The 13,441-nt window shown below is 51.1% G+C and overlaps 1 protein-coding gene across 2 annotated transcripts in view, besides 3 other annotated features; it reads left to right on the forward strand.

Moving 5' to 3' along the window:
• BICRA (BRD4 interacting chromatin remodeling complex associated protein) overlaps positions 1-13,441 on the forward strand; it is a 95,082-nt gene that overhangs the window by 4,298 nt on the left and 77,343 nt on the right. The gene's annotated exons all lie outside the window — the stretch shown is intronic.
• Positions 110-941: an enhancer, noted in NCBI's record as "H3K27ac-H3K4me1 hESC enhancer chr19:48115860-48116691 (GRCh37/hg19 assembly coordinates)". NCBI's record gives its function as "activates a minimal SCP1, AML or CMV promoter by ChIP-STARR-seq in primed H9 embryonic stem cells {active_cell/tissue: H9 hESC(primed)}" and the evidence as "EXISTENCE:reporter gene assay evidence [ECO:0000049][PMID:30033119]".
• Positions 2,604-3,433: an enhancer, noted in NCBI's record as "H3K27ac-H3K4me1 hESC enhancer chr19:48118354-48119183 (GRCh37/hg19 assembly coordinates)". NCBI's record gives its function as "activates a minimal SCP1, AML or CMV promoter by ChIP-STARR-seq in naive H9 embryonic stem cells {active_cell/tissue: H9 hESC(naive)}" and the evidence as "EXISTENCE:reporter gene assay evidence [ECO:0000049][PMID:30033119]".
• Positions 8,079-8,639: an enhancer, noted in NCBI's record as "H3K27ac-H3K4me1 hESC enhancer chr19:48123829-48124389 (GRCh37/hg19 assembly coordinates)". NCBI's record gives its function as "activates a minimal SCP1, AML or CMV promoter by ChIP-STARR-seq in primed H9 embryonic stem cells {active_cell/tissue: H9 hESC(primed)}" and the evidence as "EXISTENCE:reporter gene assay evidence [ECO:0000049][PMID:30033119]".

Consider the following 13,441-nt stretch of genomic DNA (forward strand, 5'->3'; position numbering starts at 1 on the left):
GGGAAGGCCACCTGCAAACGAACAATTCCCCTTCAGTGACACGCACCCTCTGAGCGCTTTGGGGACTAGGCCCCTACCCCTTCAGCACTTTACCCATGCGGAATACATGCTTAGCTGTAGGGGCTGGGGGGCTGAGGGAGAGGGGCTGGGGGGCTGACGGAGAGGGGCTGGACCCAGCTCACCCAGTGTAGGAGGTAATACAGGTGATCTTGCCATTTTACAGATGGGGAAACTGAGGCCAGGGGAAGCATGTTCCACGGCCGAGCTGGGACTCCAAGCCAGACGGCAGAGACTAGTGGTGGGGGTTCCGTATTTGTCAACAGAACTGGGGAGATGGTGCTTCATGGGGTCTGATCCCAGGAGCTTTAAGGGACCCCTTATCCCCGCAGCCACTGTCCCCTCCTTTAAGTGCAGTTATTTCCCTTGGCGAGATGACAGGCATAAGTAATAAGAATTCTCGGGGGAGGTGGGCAGGAGGAGAGGGGCTGTGGGGACACCCAGATCTCTCAAGATTGAGTGCTGGCTGAATGTAGGAACTGATCTTTTTGGGGGGCTGGTGGGAGAAGTCCGAGTGAGGCCCTAGAGGGTCTCCCGGCTGACTTCCTTCTCAGAGGCCTGTGGCCCTTCCCTAACCTTCCTTCAGGAGGTGGGGTGTGCCCCAGGCTGTGGAAGGGCCAGGGGATCAGCACCCAGAGGCCTATGAAGGGGGAGTTCCTGGGGGTGTATAAGGCTCCCCAGGTTCCCGTGGGCCACCTTGTAGCCCAGGTCTAGCCAGCAGCCCAGTTCCCCCGCCAGCTCTCAACCCCCACCCGCCAGGCTGCCTTGACTCCAGGTCTCAAGAATGCAGAAGGCTGCTGGTAGGGGAAGTTAATTGGAAACAGGAAAACATGGCATTCCTTTCCAGGCCGCCTGGGCTTGGAAGGCAGAGGGGCTGCCATTTCCCTTCTCCCGCCCTGCAGGGGAGAGGGGTGGGGAGTATGGTTATCTTGCCCTGGTCATATTTGAGCTTTCTTCCCCGACCAGGCACCCTCACTTAGTAGAAACAAGAGCAGTCACCCGTGCCGTGTCCACGATGACAACTGCTGCCTGCTCCCCCAGCAGAAGAATTGCCCCCTCCTTACTCACCCCTTCATATCCCTCTGGTTTTTTGTCCCCTGTCTTGTCTGAGCTAGCTCCCTGGTAGGATGCACCTTATGCCACACTAGAGACGCATGGGGAGCGTTTGGTTGAGGGGTCCCCAGGGAGTGTCTCCTGGTTCCGTCCCTCGCATTCTCCTCTGCCTGGAGTACCACCAGTAGAGTTTTGTCCCAGTTGACTGAAGCTTTTGTGTCTCAGTGACACGCAAGTTTCCCCAGTGGAGAGGGAGAGTTTTCTAAGGCATTTCTAGTTTGGTGACAATTAGTTTTGTGTATGAGTGTATGTATTCATTGGGGGGAGGGGGAAAGGAGTGTTGGCACAAGCAGAGAAGGCCTTTGTTTCTTTAATTGTTCCCAATTAAACTTCCTGAGGGCCTACTGTGTGACAGGGCCCTGGGGATCAGTTAAGACCTTGGGACACAGTCCAGGAGGAGGAGAGAGAACGGTTGGATTAGCCGCTGTGGGGTTTCATTCATTCTGTCTGGGTGGTCTGAGACATCATCTTTTTCTCTGTCTGCCTTTTGTTCCTTTTGTTCTAAGTGATACACACACGGGGCAAATTCAGAACACTAAAGATGGTGTCTCTCCCTCTAACCTCTCCAGAATCCCTGGTCCCCTAGCTCTCTTCCCCAGAGACAGCACCTCCATTCTGATGTTCTGTGCATGTACTTTTATATATGGATGTTATGTGTTTAAAACTATTCAGGCCGGGCATGGTGGCTCACGCCTGTAATCCCAGCACTTTGGGAGGCTGAAGTGGGCAGATCACCTGCGGTCAGGAGTTCAAGACCAGCCTGGCCAACATGGTGAAACCCCATCTCTCCTAAAAATACAAAAATGAGCTGGGCATGGTGGTGCATGGCTGTAATCCCAGCTACTCAGGAGCCTGAGGCAGGGGAATTGCTTGAATGCAGGAGGCGGAGGTTGCGGTGAGCCGAGATTGCGGTAGCACTGCACTCCACTCCAGCCTGGGCGACACAGCGAGACTCTGTCTAAAACAAACAAACAGACAAACAAAAAACTATTCATCTTACACAGATGGTAGTCTGGTCTATGCATTGCTTTTTTTCCACGCTTCATCTCCCTGGGAGACCCTACCAATGTAGGTCTTCCTCTATCTTTTTCTTGGCTGCATGGTATTCCTCTGTGTGGGTGAATCCTCCTTTACTGTTATGGACGTGGAGGTGTTTCCAAAGGTTTCTGTGTGAAGCATGGGAAGGCATACGTCCGCACATGTTACAGGGAAATGAGTACGCCTGTGGGATAGACTCCTGGAAGTGGGATTGCTAGATCAAGGGCCAGTGATTTGTCTTTTGGTAGCTCTTACGGAGCACCTTTGATGTTGCACGTTGCATCTTTTTTTATTTTTTTGAGACAGAATCTTGCTGTGTCACCCAGGCTGGAGTGCAGTGGCGCCATCACTTTTCACTGCAGCATTATCCTTCCTGGGCTCAAGTGAGCCTCGCATCTCAGCCTCCCCAGTAGCTGGGACTACAGGTGCACGCCACCACGCCCAGGGAGTTTTAATATTTTTGGTAAAGACGAGGTCTCACTGTGTTGCCCAGGCTGGTCTTGAAATCCTGTTCAAGCACTCCTCCCGCCTTGGCCTCCCAATGTGCTGGGATTACAGGCGTGAGCCACCGTGCCCGGCCCCTCATGCTGCACCTTGAAGAAAGTTGTTCTCTTTCTCTCCTCTTCAATGTGATCCCACCTGTCGCCCAGGCAGCATCTCCAGGCTGCACGTGTCTTTGCCTCAGGTGACCTCCTTGTGTCTGATGACCTCCTTGCCTCTTCCTCCTGCTTATGGCCTGCGTCATGTGCTTGCCACCTGGTGTGGAGGTCAGGAGCGTGGGCTCTGGGCCCTGCCTGTTGGTTCTAATCCCAGTTCTGCTATTTGCTGGCTGAATGGCTGTGGACAGGGGACTTGCTTGGGGCCTTGGTTTTCCCCTCTATTAAGTGGGTTCATATCAGTACCTACTTGGTAAGGCTCTTGTGAGGGTCCCCAAACACCCATAAAGTGCCAAGGTAGCCTTGTCAGTCAGTGTCGGTGTCACCTGTCATTCTTAGGCAGTTTATTTCTCCTGGGGACTGTGACCCCCTTAATTGGCAGGTGTTGGATGGAATGCTGGCTTCTCTGCTTAATTGCAGTGTGACCCTGGGCAAGCAATTCCTTTGCATGGCCTCAGTTTCCTTGTCTATAAAATGGGCCCATGATGCCTCCCTCGTAGGGTCTGCTGTGAGGCTGAACGAAGCAATGTTCTGCCAAGCTGGGCAGGCAGTCGCTTTCAGGAACTAGCAAATGATGCTGCTGTTGTTTTCACTATGATTACTGTTCTCCTGCGGGACTCATGCTGACTCCTCCGCTCTGAAAGGTCCCCATTGTCTTCCTGAAAGGCACACAAGGAACAATGTTGGCATTCTAAACTGCATGGCAGCAGAGGGCACGCAGCAGGCTGCTCCGGCATGAGGCACACAGGGCTTCCCTGTACCGTGCCTCAGTTTCCCCAACTGGAAGAGTGGGCATGAGAGGAAACCCACCTCAGGCATGCTTAGTGTTCAGCACAGTGCCTGGGGTATAGCAAGCGCCCAAAAAATGTGAGTGGCTGTGATTGGAATAATTATTATTAAGTAGCAGAGTCTCCCATAGGATTAGATACCCAAGTTGCTATGGCCTTTCCCCCAAACCCTAGGCAATCAGTGTTGGCATTTTAAATGGAAGGCACAGGGCTGGCATTGGTGGCTCATGCCTGTAATCCCAGCACTTTGGGAGGCCAAGGCAGGCGGATCACTTGAGGTCAGGAGTTCGAGACCAGCCTGGCCAACATGGTGAAGCCCTGTCTCTACTAAAAATACAAAAAAATTAGCCAGGCGTGGTGGCGCATGCTTGTAATCCCAGCTACTCAGGAGGCTGAGGCATGAGAATCGCTTGAAACTGGGAGGCGGAGGTTGCAGTGAGCTGAGATCGCACGATTGCACTCCAGCCAGGGCGACAGAGCAAGACTCTGTCTCAAAAAAAAAAAAAGGAAGACAATGCCCAAATACCCACTGGGCCACAATTTCCTCTTCTGTAACAGAGCTTCCCCGCTTTGGGTGTTGTGACGCTTCAATGAGTGAAGACTTGGGAAGCTTTTTAGGATAGGACCTGGCTCTCAGGAATGCTCAGTGAAGCTTCACTTTGATTCTTATTATCTTTTATTTTTATTAATTTTTTTTTTTTGAGACAAGAATCTCTCTCTGCGCCCAGGCTGGAGTACAGTGGTGTGATCTTGGCTCACTGCAACCTCCGCCTCCCAGGTTCAAGTGATTCTTATGTCTCAGCCTCCCGAGTAGCTATGGCTACAGATGTGGGCCACGACACCCAGCTAATTTTGTATATTTTGTAGAGCTGGTGTTTGGCCATGTTGGCCAGGCTAGTCTCGAACTCCTGGACTCAAGCAATCCACCCGCCTCAGCTTCCCAAAGTGCTGGGATTACAAACATGAGCCACCATACCAGGCCTATTATTTTTAAATATTTTATTTTATTTTATAGAGACAAGGTCTTGCTATATTGCTCAGGCTGGTCTCCAACTTCTGGGCTCAACAGTCCTCCGACTTTGGCCTCCCAAAGTCCTGGGATTATAGGCATGAGCAACTGCACCTGGCCGTCTTTGTTTATTATTATTTTGTTTTCTTTTTTCTTTTTTTTTGCCATCTAGACTCGGCTTGGCAGATTTATTTATTGTTATTTTAACTTATATTTTTTATTTTTTTGAGACAGGCTCTCACTGTGTCACCCAGACTGGAGTGTAGTGGCGCCATATCGGCTCACTGCAACCTCCGCCTCCCAGGCTCCAGCAGTTCTCGTGCCTCAGTCTCCCGAGTAGCTGGAATTACAGGTGCCTGCCACCACACACGGCTAATTGTTGTATTTTTAGTAGAGAAGGGGTTTCACCATGTTGGCCAGGCTGGTCTCGAACTCCTGAACTCAGGTGATCTGCTCACCTAGGCCCCCCAAAGTGCTGGGATTACAAGCATGAGCTATGCACCTGGCCTTTTTAACTTTTTGTTAAGGAAATTTTAAAGCACTCACCGAGAGTTGAGAAAATAGCACAACCACCCCTGTGTAACCATCACCAGCTTCTGCAAAAATTTTCTGCTGATCTGATCTTTTTTTTTTGGCCATTACCTACTGTGCACATATATTTTTTCTTTTTTGCCAAGGTATTTTAAAGCAAATTCCAGATATCATATCATTTCCATTGTATTATTATTGTTATTAATGGTGGTGTTATTTCTGGGATCCAGAATTTGTTTCAGCACCTCCAGAGTCTGTCCTGTTCTATGAAGAAAGTGGCATTAGGCCCATTTCATAGGTTGGGAAACTGAGGCAGCAGGGAGTGGGCTTTGATCAGGTGGTCCTTTTTCTGTGATCCCCTTTTTGGGACTGTGGTGAATTCCCTGTCTTGGCCACACCAAGCCTCAAACCCTGTGGGTTGTTTCTGATTACACAGGTTTGGGGGTCACACCTGGGTGCATGCAGTGTGGGGTACAGGTTCTGTTACTCTGTGCAGAAATCGTCCTCATAAAGGAAGAGTTGAAGTGGGGCTGGCAGCAGGGGATGGACCCCTAGGATGACCCTGGAGGTGATGGGCAACTGGGTCAGCTGTGTGGGTTAAAGTCCTGTTTCTGCTCCTTCTAACCCTGTGACTTGGTGGCAAGCTATTTCCCTCCTTTAGTCCAGGTTAGAGAACTGGAAGTACAGGAGAGATAATAAATACTTATTTGGATGACCTTATTGTTAAATAAGGTCTAGCGTGGAAAAGATGTTTTGCAAGTGCCTGGCTCAGAGTAAACGGTCACTATTGTTAGTGTTGTTATTGCTTCTGTGTATACTCTTGAGGTTGGGGACAAAAATGCTGTTTCTAGGATTGCAGAGGAAGGGTTGATGCCCCTTGACCCCCCAGCCCGGCCCCGCTACCTTCATTCCCTTGCCATGCCCACCCTGTCCCTCTGCACTCTCCCTTTGAAGTGCTTGCCTGTTTAGGGGGCTGCCAACTTCAGCGTGGCCCCTCTCAGCCTCTTATGTCCTCTGTGTCCCAGCCTGGTAACCTTGGGAACGGAGTGAGCGGGAATATCTGTCTGAGGCTGTGAGACCCTTGCTAAAGACCCTTGGGGTCCTTGAGGGAGCGCCTGGTGGCCTCTGCTGCCTGGAGGCAGAGGATGGCCCAGTGTCCAGGGACACCTGCAGGTGAAGCTCCCCGGAGCCACCTTTCCAGAGGCTGGATGCCAACTCTCGTCCACCGTGTGAGGCTGGGCGGGCAGATGTCCACAGCGCCTGCCTCACAGGGTGGCTGTGACAGTTAGCTGGACTATAACCTCCATCACCTGGCACGCATAGTGTCTCATTGACCTCAGACACTTGGCGCCCGGCCTGGGTGCGGGAGTTCTCCCTGGGAGAAGTCTGAGCTCACAGCTTAGCAAGCTCTTGCTGTACTGCGGAATTTCTCTCCCTAGAACGTGCGCGGTGATCTCCTACTTTTGTGTGTATACTTACTCTTTCGTGGACAGTGTATATATATATGTATATATACATATATATATACACATTTTTTTTCCCAACCCCTTTTTTTTTTCCTTTTTTTTGTGTGTGTGTGTTTGAGATGGGGTCTCGCTGTTTCGCTCTGTCCCCTAGGCCGGAGTGCAGTGGCACTATCTCGGCTCGTTGCAACCTCCGCCTCCCGGGTTCAAGACATTCTCCCTGCCTCAGCCTTCCGAGTAGCTGGGATTATAGGCGCCCGCCACCACGCCCGGTTAGTTTTTGTATTTTTAGTAGAGATGAGGTTTCACCATGTTGGCCAGGCTGGTCTCGAACTCCTGACCTCAGGTGATCTGCCTGCTTTGGCTTCCCGAAGTGCTGGGATTACAGGTGTGAGCCACTGGTCCCAGCCTCTCCCAATCCTTTTTCATTGAAGTGTAATTCGTATACAGTAAAATCCGCAGAGGGGCCAGGCACGGTGGCTCACACCTGTAATCCCAGCACTTTTTGGGAGGGCGAGGTGGGAGGATCACTTGAGGCCGGGAGTCCGAGACCAGCCTAGGCAACATAATAAGACCCTATCTCTCCAAAAAACAAATAAAGACCTTAGCCAGTTGTGGTGGCCCCTGCCTGGATCTAATCTGGAGGCTGAGGTAGGAGAATTGCTTGAGTCCAGGAGGCTGAGGCTGCAGAGAGCCATTCATTAAAATGCACATAGTTTAAGCATGCCTTTCCATGAGTCCTAACCCCTATCAAGATACAGCACATTCTCGTCACTGCCAGAAAGTTGCCCTTTGCCCCTTCCTGGTCAGTACCTGCTCCCAGAAGCAGTCACTGGCTTGCCTTGTCATTGTGGGTCAGCCTTGCCTCTTCTAGAATTTCACAGAGGGGGAGTCCTGCCCCGTGGAGTCCGTTGGGTTGAGCATCTTCGGCTCAGCATGATCCTTTTGAGATGCAGGGATGTTGGTGTGTGTGTATCGGGAGTGTCTTCCTTTAAGAAATTCTTTCCCGTGAGTATTTCTTCAAGCCTGGCTTTCTCATGAGGCTCCAAACTGCAGAAGATGAGAAGGGAGGGCTGTGTTTCCTGTGTTCTCAGCTCCTGGTGTGCAGTAGGTGCTCTGTAGATGCTTGTTGAATGAATGGATGGGTGGATGACAGGCATGTCCCAGGGATGGAGAAAGGGGAGCAGAGACCCTGTCTTTGGAGTTCCTGTGTGTTTCTCAAAAAGTGTCCCACTGGCCAGGGCGCAGTGGCTCACACCTCTAATCCCAGCACTTTGGGAGGTCAGGGCAGGTGGATCACCTGAGGTCGGGAGTTTGAGACCAGCTTGGGCAACATGGTGAAACCCCGTCTCTACAAAAAAATACAAAAAGTAGCCGAGCATGGTGGTGCATGCTTGTAGTCCCAGCAACTTGGGAAGCTGAGAGGTGGGAGGATCACTTGAGCCCAGAAGGTCGAGGCTCCAGTTAGCTGTGATCATACCACTGCACTTTAGCTTGGGCGACAGAGTGAGACTGTCTCAAAAAAAAAAAAAAAAAAAAAACAAGAACAAAACCCACATGCTTCCAAATGACCAGGGATGCTTGTGAAAAATGACCATCCCTGGGCTCCACACAGACCAAACTCCTGGGAATCCCGATGAGTGGCGTCCAGGAAACAGCATTTTCATCAAGCGCTGTCTCTGAGTAGTTCTTTTGCACAGGTAGCCCAGCCCTAAATCCTAGGCCTCTTCCGGCAGCAGCAGAGCTCCCCAGCAGGCCTGTCATCCAGTCAAGGCGGCCATGGGTCTTGGAGCCCCACTCGATCTCTGTCTACGGCCATTGCTTGTCCTGACCCTGGCTGCCTCCCTGGTGCCTCTGTGTGAGCCTGGAGTCCTGTACTCACTCCCTAAGTGCTGTTCAAAGAGGGAATGAATGGGAACCTGGGAGGTAGGTCAGGATTGTTGACCTCCCCACTGCTCAGCGGGGAAACCGAGGCTCCATGAGTTCTGGTGTTTCTCCTGCAGTTCACCTGGGAGTGGAAGCCAGACAGGGTATTTCCTGGGCTAAGCAGCCATCAGTTGTAAGATGCAGCTTCCTTTTCAGAGACAAAAGTGTGAAAAATGCGCATCTTGGAGTTGATAAAACTCAGGAAAAGTCCTGTCCCACCCTGCAGTTTGCCCGCTGTCTCAAGGCTGTTTTGTGCAGGGTTGTCTTTTTCTGTTAAATTTCTGTCTCGTTAGCCAAAGGAACAAAATCCCCTGATGTCTTCCCAGTGCTTTGTACCTTCTCAAGCATGTCCCCTTCCATGGTCCTGCTTTTGTATTTAAAATTTTTTAGTCTTTTTTTTTTTTTTTTTTAAATGCGAGATGGAATTTTGCTCTTGTTGCCCAGGCTGGAGTGCAATGGTGCTATCTTGGCTCACTGCAACCTCCGCCTCCCAGGTTCAAGCAATTCTCCTGCCTCAGCCTCCTGAGTAGCTGGGATTACGGGCACATGCCACCACACCCGGCTGATTTTTGTATTTTTAGTAGAGAGGGGGTTTCACCATGTCAGGCTGGTTTTGAACTCCTGACCTCAGTTGATCACTGGCGTCCGCCTCCCAAAGTGCTGGGATTACAGGCGTGAGCCACTGCACCCGGCCTGAATTGAGAGACTTCTTTAACTCAGTTTCTTTTTATTTTCAAGATGGAGCCTTGCTCTGTCGCCCAGGCTGGAGTGCAATAGTGCGATCTTGGCTCACTGCAACCTCCACCTCCCAGGTTCAAGCAATTCTCCTGCCTTGGCTTCTCAAGTAGCTGGTGTTACAGGCGTGCACCACCACCCCCAGCTAATTTTTGTACTTTATTTTTTTTTTTTTGAGATGAAGTCTCACTCTGTTGCCTAAGCTGGAGTGCAGTGGTGCGATTTTGGCCCACTGCAACCTCTACCTCCCGGGTTCAAGCAGTTCTCCTGCCTCAGCCTCCCGAGTAGCTGGGACTACAGGCCTGCACCACCATGCCCAGCTAATTTTTGTATTTTTAGTAGAGACAGGTTTCACTATGTTGGCCAGGCTGGTCTCGAACTCCTCACCTTGTGATCTGCCCGCCATGGCCTCCCAAAGTGCTGGAATTACAGGTGTGAGCCACCACTCCCGGCCATACTTTTTTAGTAGAGATGGGGTTTCGCCGCCATGTTGGCCAGGCTAGTCTCGAACTCCTGACCTCAGGTGATCCTCTCGCCTTGGCCTCCCAGAGTGCTGGGATTACAGGCATGAGCCACCACGCCTGAGTGTAACTTGGTTTCTAACAAAAGTCTGCTTAAAAATATGTAGGAGTGGGCCGGGCGTGGTGGCTCACGCCTGTAATCCCAGCACTTTGGGAGGCTGAGGCGGGCAGATCACGAGGTCAGGAGATCGAGACCATCCTGGCTAATGCGGTGAAACCCTGTCTCTACTAAAAATACAAAAAATTAGCTGGACGTAGTGGCTGGCGCCTGTAGTCCCAGCTACTCGGGAGACTGAGGCAGGAGAATGGTGTGAACCCGGGAGGCGGAGCTTGCAGTGAGCCGAGATTGTGCCACTGCACTCCAGCCTGGGTGACAGAGTGAGACTCTGTCTCAAAAAAAAAAAAAAAAAAAAAAAATTTAGGAGTGGGCCGGGTGCGGTGGCTCATGCCTGTAATCCTAGCACTTTGGGAGCCCAAGGTGGGTGGATCACGAGGTCAGGAGTTCAAGACCAGCCTGGGCAACATGGTGAAGCCCCATCTCTACTAAAAATACAAAAATTAGCTGGGCATGGTGGCAGGCACCTGTAATCCTAGCTACTCAGGAGGCTGAGGCAGAGAATTGTTTGAGCCCAGGAGGCGGAGGTTGCAATGAGCCGAGATAGTGCCACTGCACTCCAGCCTGGGTGACAGAACGAGAGGCCATCTCAAAAAAAAAAAAGTGTGTGTGTGTGTACTCTCATATATTAGACATTACATAATACATAATAGAAATATAAAACTATACATTATTATATATAAAAATATATACTCCTATTTATAAAATTCCCTTTTATTTTCATTCCCCTCCCCGTCAGCGACCTCCTGTGCTGGAGTGAATTGCTTGCTTTGTGCGATGGATTTTTGCTTTACAGAAAGGATACTGCTTCTGTTTCTCCTCCTGCTGCTTTTCCTCCCAGTGCTGTGTTTAGAGGGTCGCCTTGTTGGTTACCTGTCCCTCCCTGCTGCTCCTCCCTGCTGTGCGCTCCATGGGCTGCAGGTAGTACAGTTCACTTCAAATCCTCATGAGGGTCAGACCCCCAGGTGTTCACCATCTCCCTGTCACAGAGGCACAGAGGTAAAATGACTTCCCAAGGTCACACAGGGAGCTGCTGCCTGAGCTGGGATTTTCGTCCTCCTGGTTAATTCAGACTCACACTCAGGCTTCCTACTGCTTGGACTGTGGCCCATGTTCTCACCTCCAGCACAAATAGCCGGTGCTGTGCCTTCAGGGACTGGGGAGAGCGATGAGGCAGGAACACACCCATTCCCCTGCAAAGCCAGATCAGTGTCTGAGGATTGCCAGCTGAGCCTGGGGAGGTCAGGCGGGGAGGCATCAGGGTAGGCTTCCTGGAGGAGGGAGCTTCTAGGGCAGGCTTTGGGGCTTGGGGGTAGGGTAAGAAAAACAGGGAATCTAGCATGATCCAAGGTCATTGCCCTGAGCAGCTGGGTGGAAGGAAGTGTTCTTTCTCTCTCTCTCTTTTTTTTTTTTTTTTGAGACTGAGACCGAGTTTAGTTCTTGTTGCCCAGGCTGGAGTGCAGTGGCGCGATCTTGGCTCACCGCAACCTCTGCCTTCGGCGTTCAAGAGATTCTCGTGCCTCAGCTCCCCGAGTAGCTGGGATTACAGGCACGCACCACCGCGCCCGGCTAATTTTGTGTTTTTAGTAGCGTCGGGGTTTCTCCATGTTGGCCAGGCTGGTCTTGAACTCCCGACCTCAGATGATCCGCCCACCTCTGCCTCCCAAAGTGCTGGGATTACAGGCGTGAGCCAACATGCCCGGCAGATTGTGACTCCCTAGTGCCCTCAGGTAAAACCTCTTCAGCTCCGTACAAAGTCTTTCTGATCTGGCCTGGCTTATCTCCTACCCTTTTCATCTTGCCTTTCACTCACCAAGCTGGTTCCCGCCTCCCCACCTCGGCCTGCACTGTACTCTGCCCAGAGTCATCTTCCCCTGCTACAAGCATACCCCAGAGAGCAGGCAGGTTAGGTTCTAGACAGTGCAGTAAAGTGAGTATCACAATAGAGCGAGCCACACACGTTTTTTGATTCTCCAGTGGATACAAAAGTTACGTTTATACGATACTGCAATCTGTTAAGTGTGCAATAACATCATGTCTAAAAAAACCAGTGTACATACCTTAATTAAAAATTGCTTTATTGCTAAAATATGCTGATACTGACATGAAGTGAGCTTGTGACTGGGAAAATGATGCAGATAGACTCACTGGACAAAGGGTTGCCAGAAACCTTCAGTTCGTAAAAAAATGCTGTGTCTTTGAAGTGTAGTAACAAGTTATGCCTGTACCTCCCACTGCCACGCCCTGACTTTTTTTTTTTTCTTTGGAAGATAGGGTCTCATTCTGTCGCCCAGGCTGGAATGCAGTGGTGTGATCATACTCACTCCTGTCTTGACCTCCCAGGCTCAAGCGTTCCTCCAACCTCAGCTACCCGAGTAGTTGGGACCGCAGGCATGTGCCACCATACCTGGCTGATTTTTTAAGTTTTTGCAGAGATGAGGTTTCACTATGTTGCCCAGGCTGGCCTTGAACTCCCGGGCTCAAGTGATCCTCCTGACTCAGTCTCCCACAGTGCTGGGATTACAGACATGAGCCACTGCACCTGGCTTTTTTTTTTTTTTTTTTTTTTTTTGAGACAGAGTCTCACTCTGTTGCCCAGGGTGAAGTGCAGTGACGTGATCTCAGCTCACTGCAACCTCCACCTCCTGGGTTCAAGTAGTTCTCCTGCCTCAGCCTCCTGAGTAGCTGGGATTACAGGCGTGAGCCACCACGCCCAGCTAATTTTTGTATTTTTAGTAGAGATAGGGTTTCACCATGTTGGCCAGGCTGGTCTCGAACTCCTGACCTCCAGTGATTTGCCCTCCTCAGCCTCCCAAAGTGTTGAGATTACAGGTGTGAGCCACCAACCTGGCCTTTTTTTTTTTTTTTTAAGAGACAGGGTCTCACTGGTGCCCAGGCTGGATTGCGGTGGCGTGATTGTGGTTCACTGTGGCCTCCAACTCTTTTGGGGCCACATCTCGCAGGTCTCTGCTTAAATGCTCCCTCCTCGGGGAAGCCCTCTTTGACTTTCTCGTCCAATTTCCTTCACTTCACTGAGCTTATTTCCATGTTAGGTGACATCCTCAGGGTCTGACAAGGACTGAATAAACCCCTAACTGATACTGAATGATTGAGGGGCCAGGTGACCTTTATACAGATCGTGAGGAGATTGGGTTGGGTTTGGATTGGGTTTTTGAGTTTCTGAGCTGAGTTGGAGGCTTAGGAGAGAAAAGGAAAGAAGGTGAGGGAAGGTTCTGGAAGAGCCTGGAGGAGGTGGTACTGGGTTGGGCTCAGAAGTGAAGTTTGCTCACAGTTTGCGAAGTGGAGAGGGTGTGAAGGCAGAGGTTGTGTGTACAATTGGGAAAGCGTTCAGGAGGCCAGCATGGATGGGCTGAGAGACACAGGAGGAGAGGGAGGCCGTGGGGCTGTGTGGGGGCCGGGGGCACGGGGAGCTGGTAGTTAGGGAGAGCTCTGGCAGCTGCCTTGCTCGACATGGAGAGGCGCCTTTTG

This window comes from Homo sapiens, chromosome 19 (genome assembly GCF_000001405.40).
Source record: "Homo sapiens chromosome 19, GRCh38.p14 Primary Assembly".
NCBI lineage: Eukaryota > Metazoa > Chordata > Mammalia > Primates > Hominidae > Homo > Homo sapiens.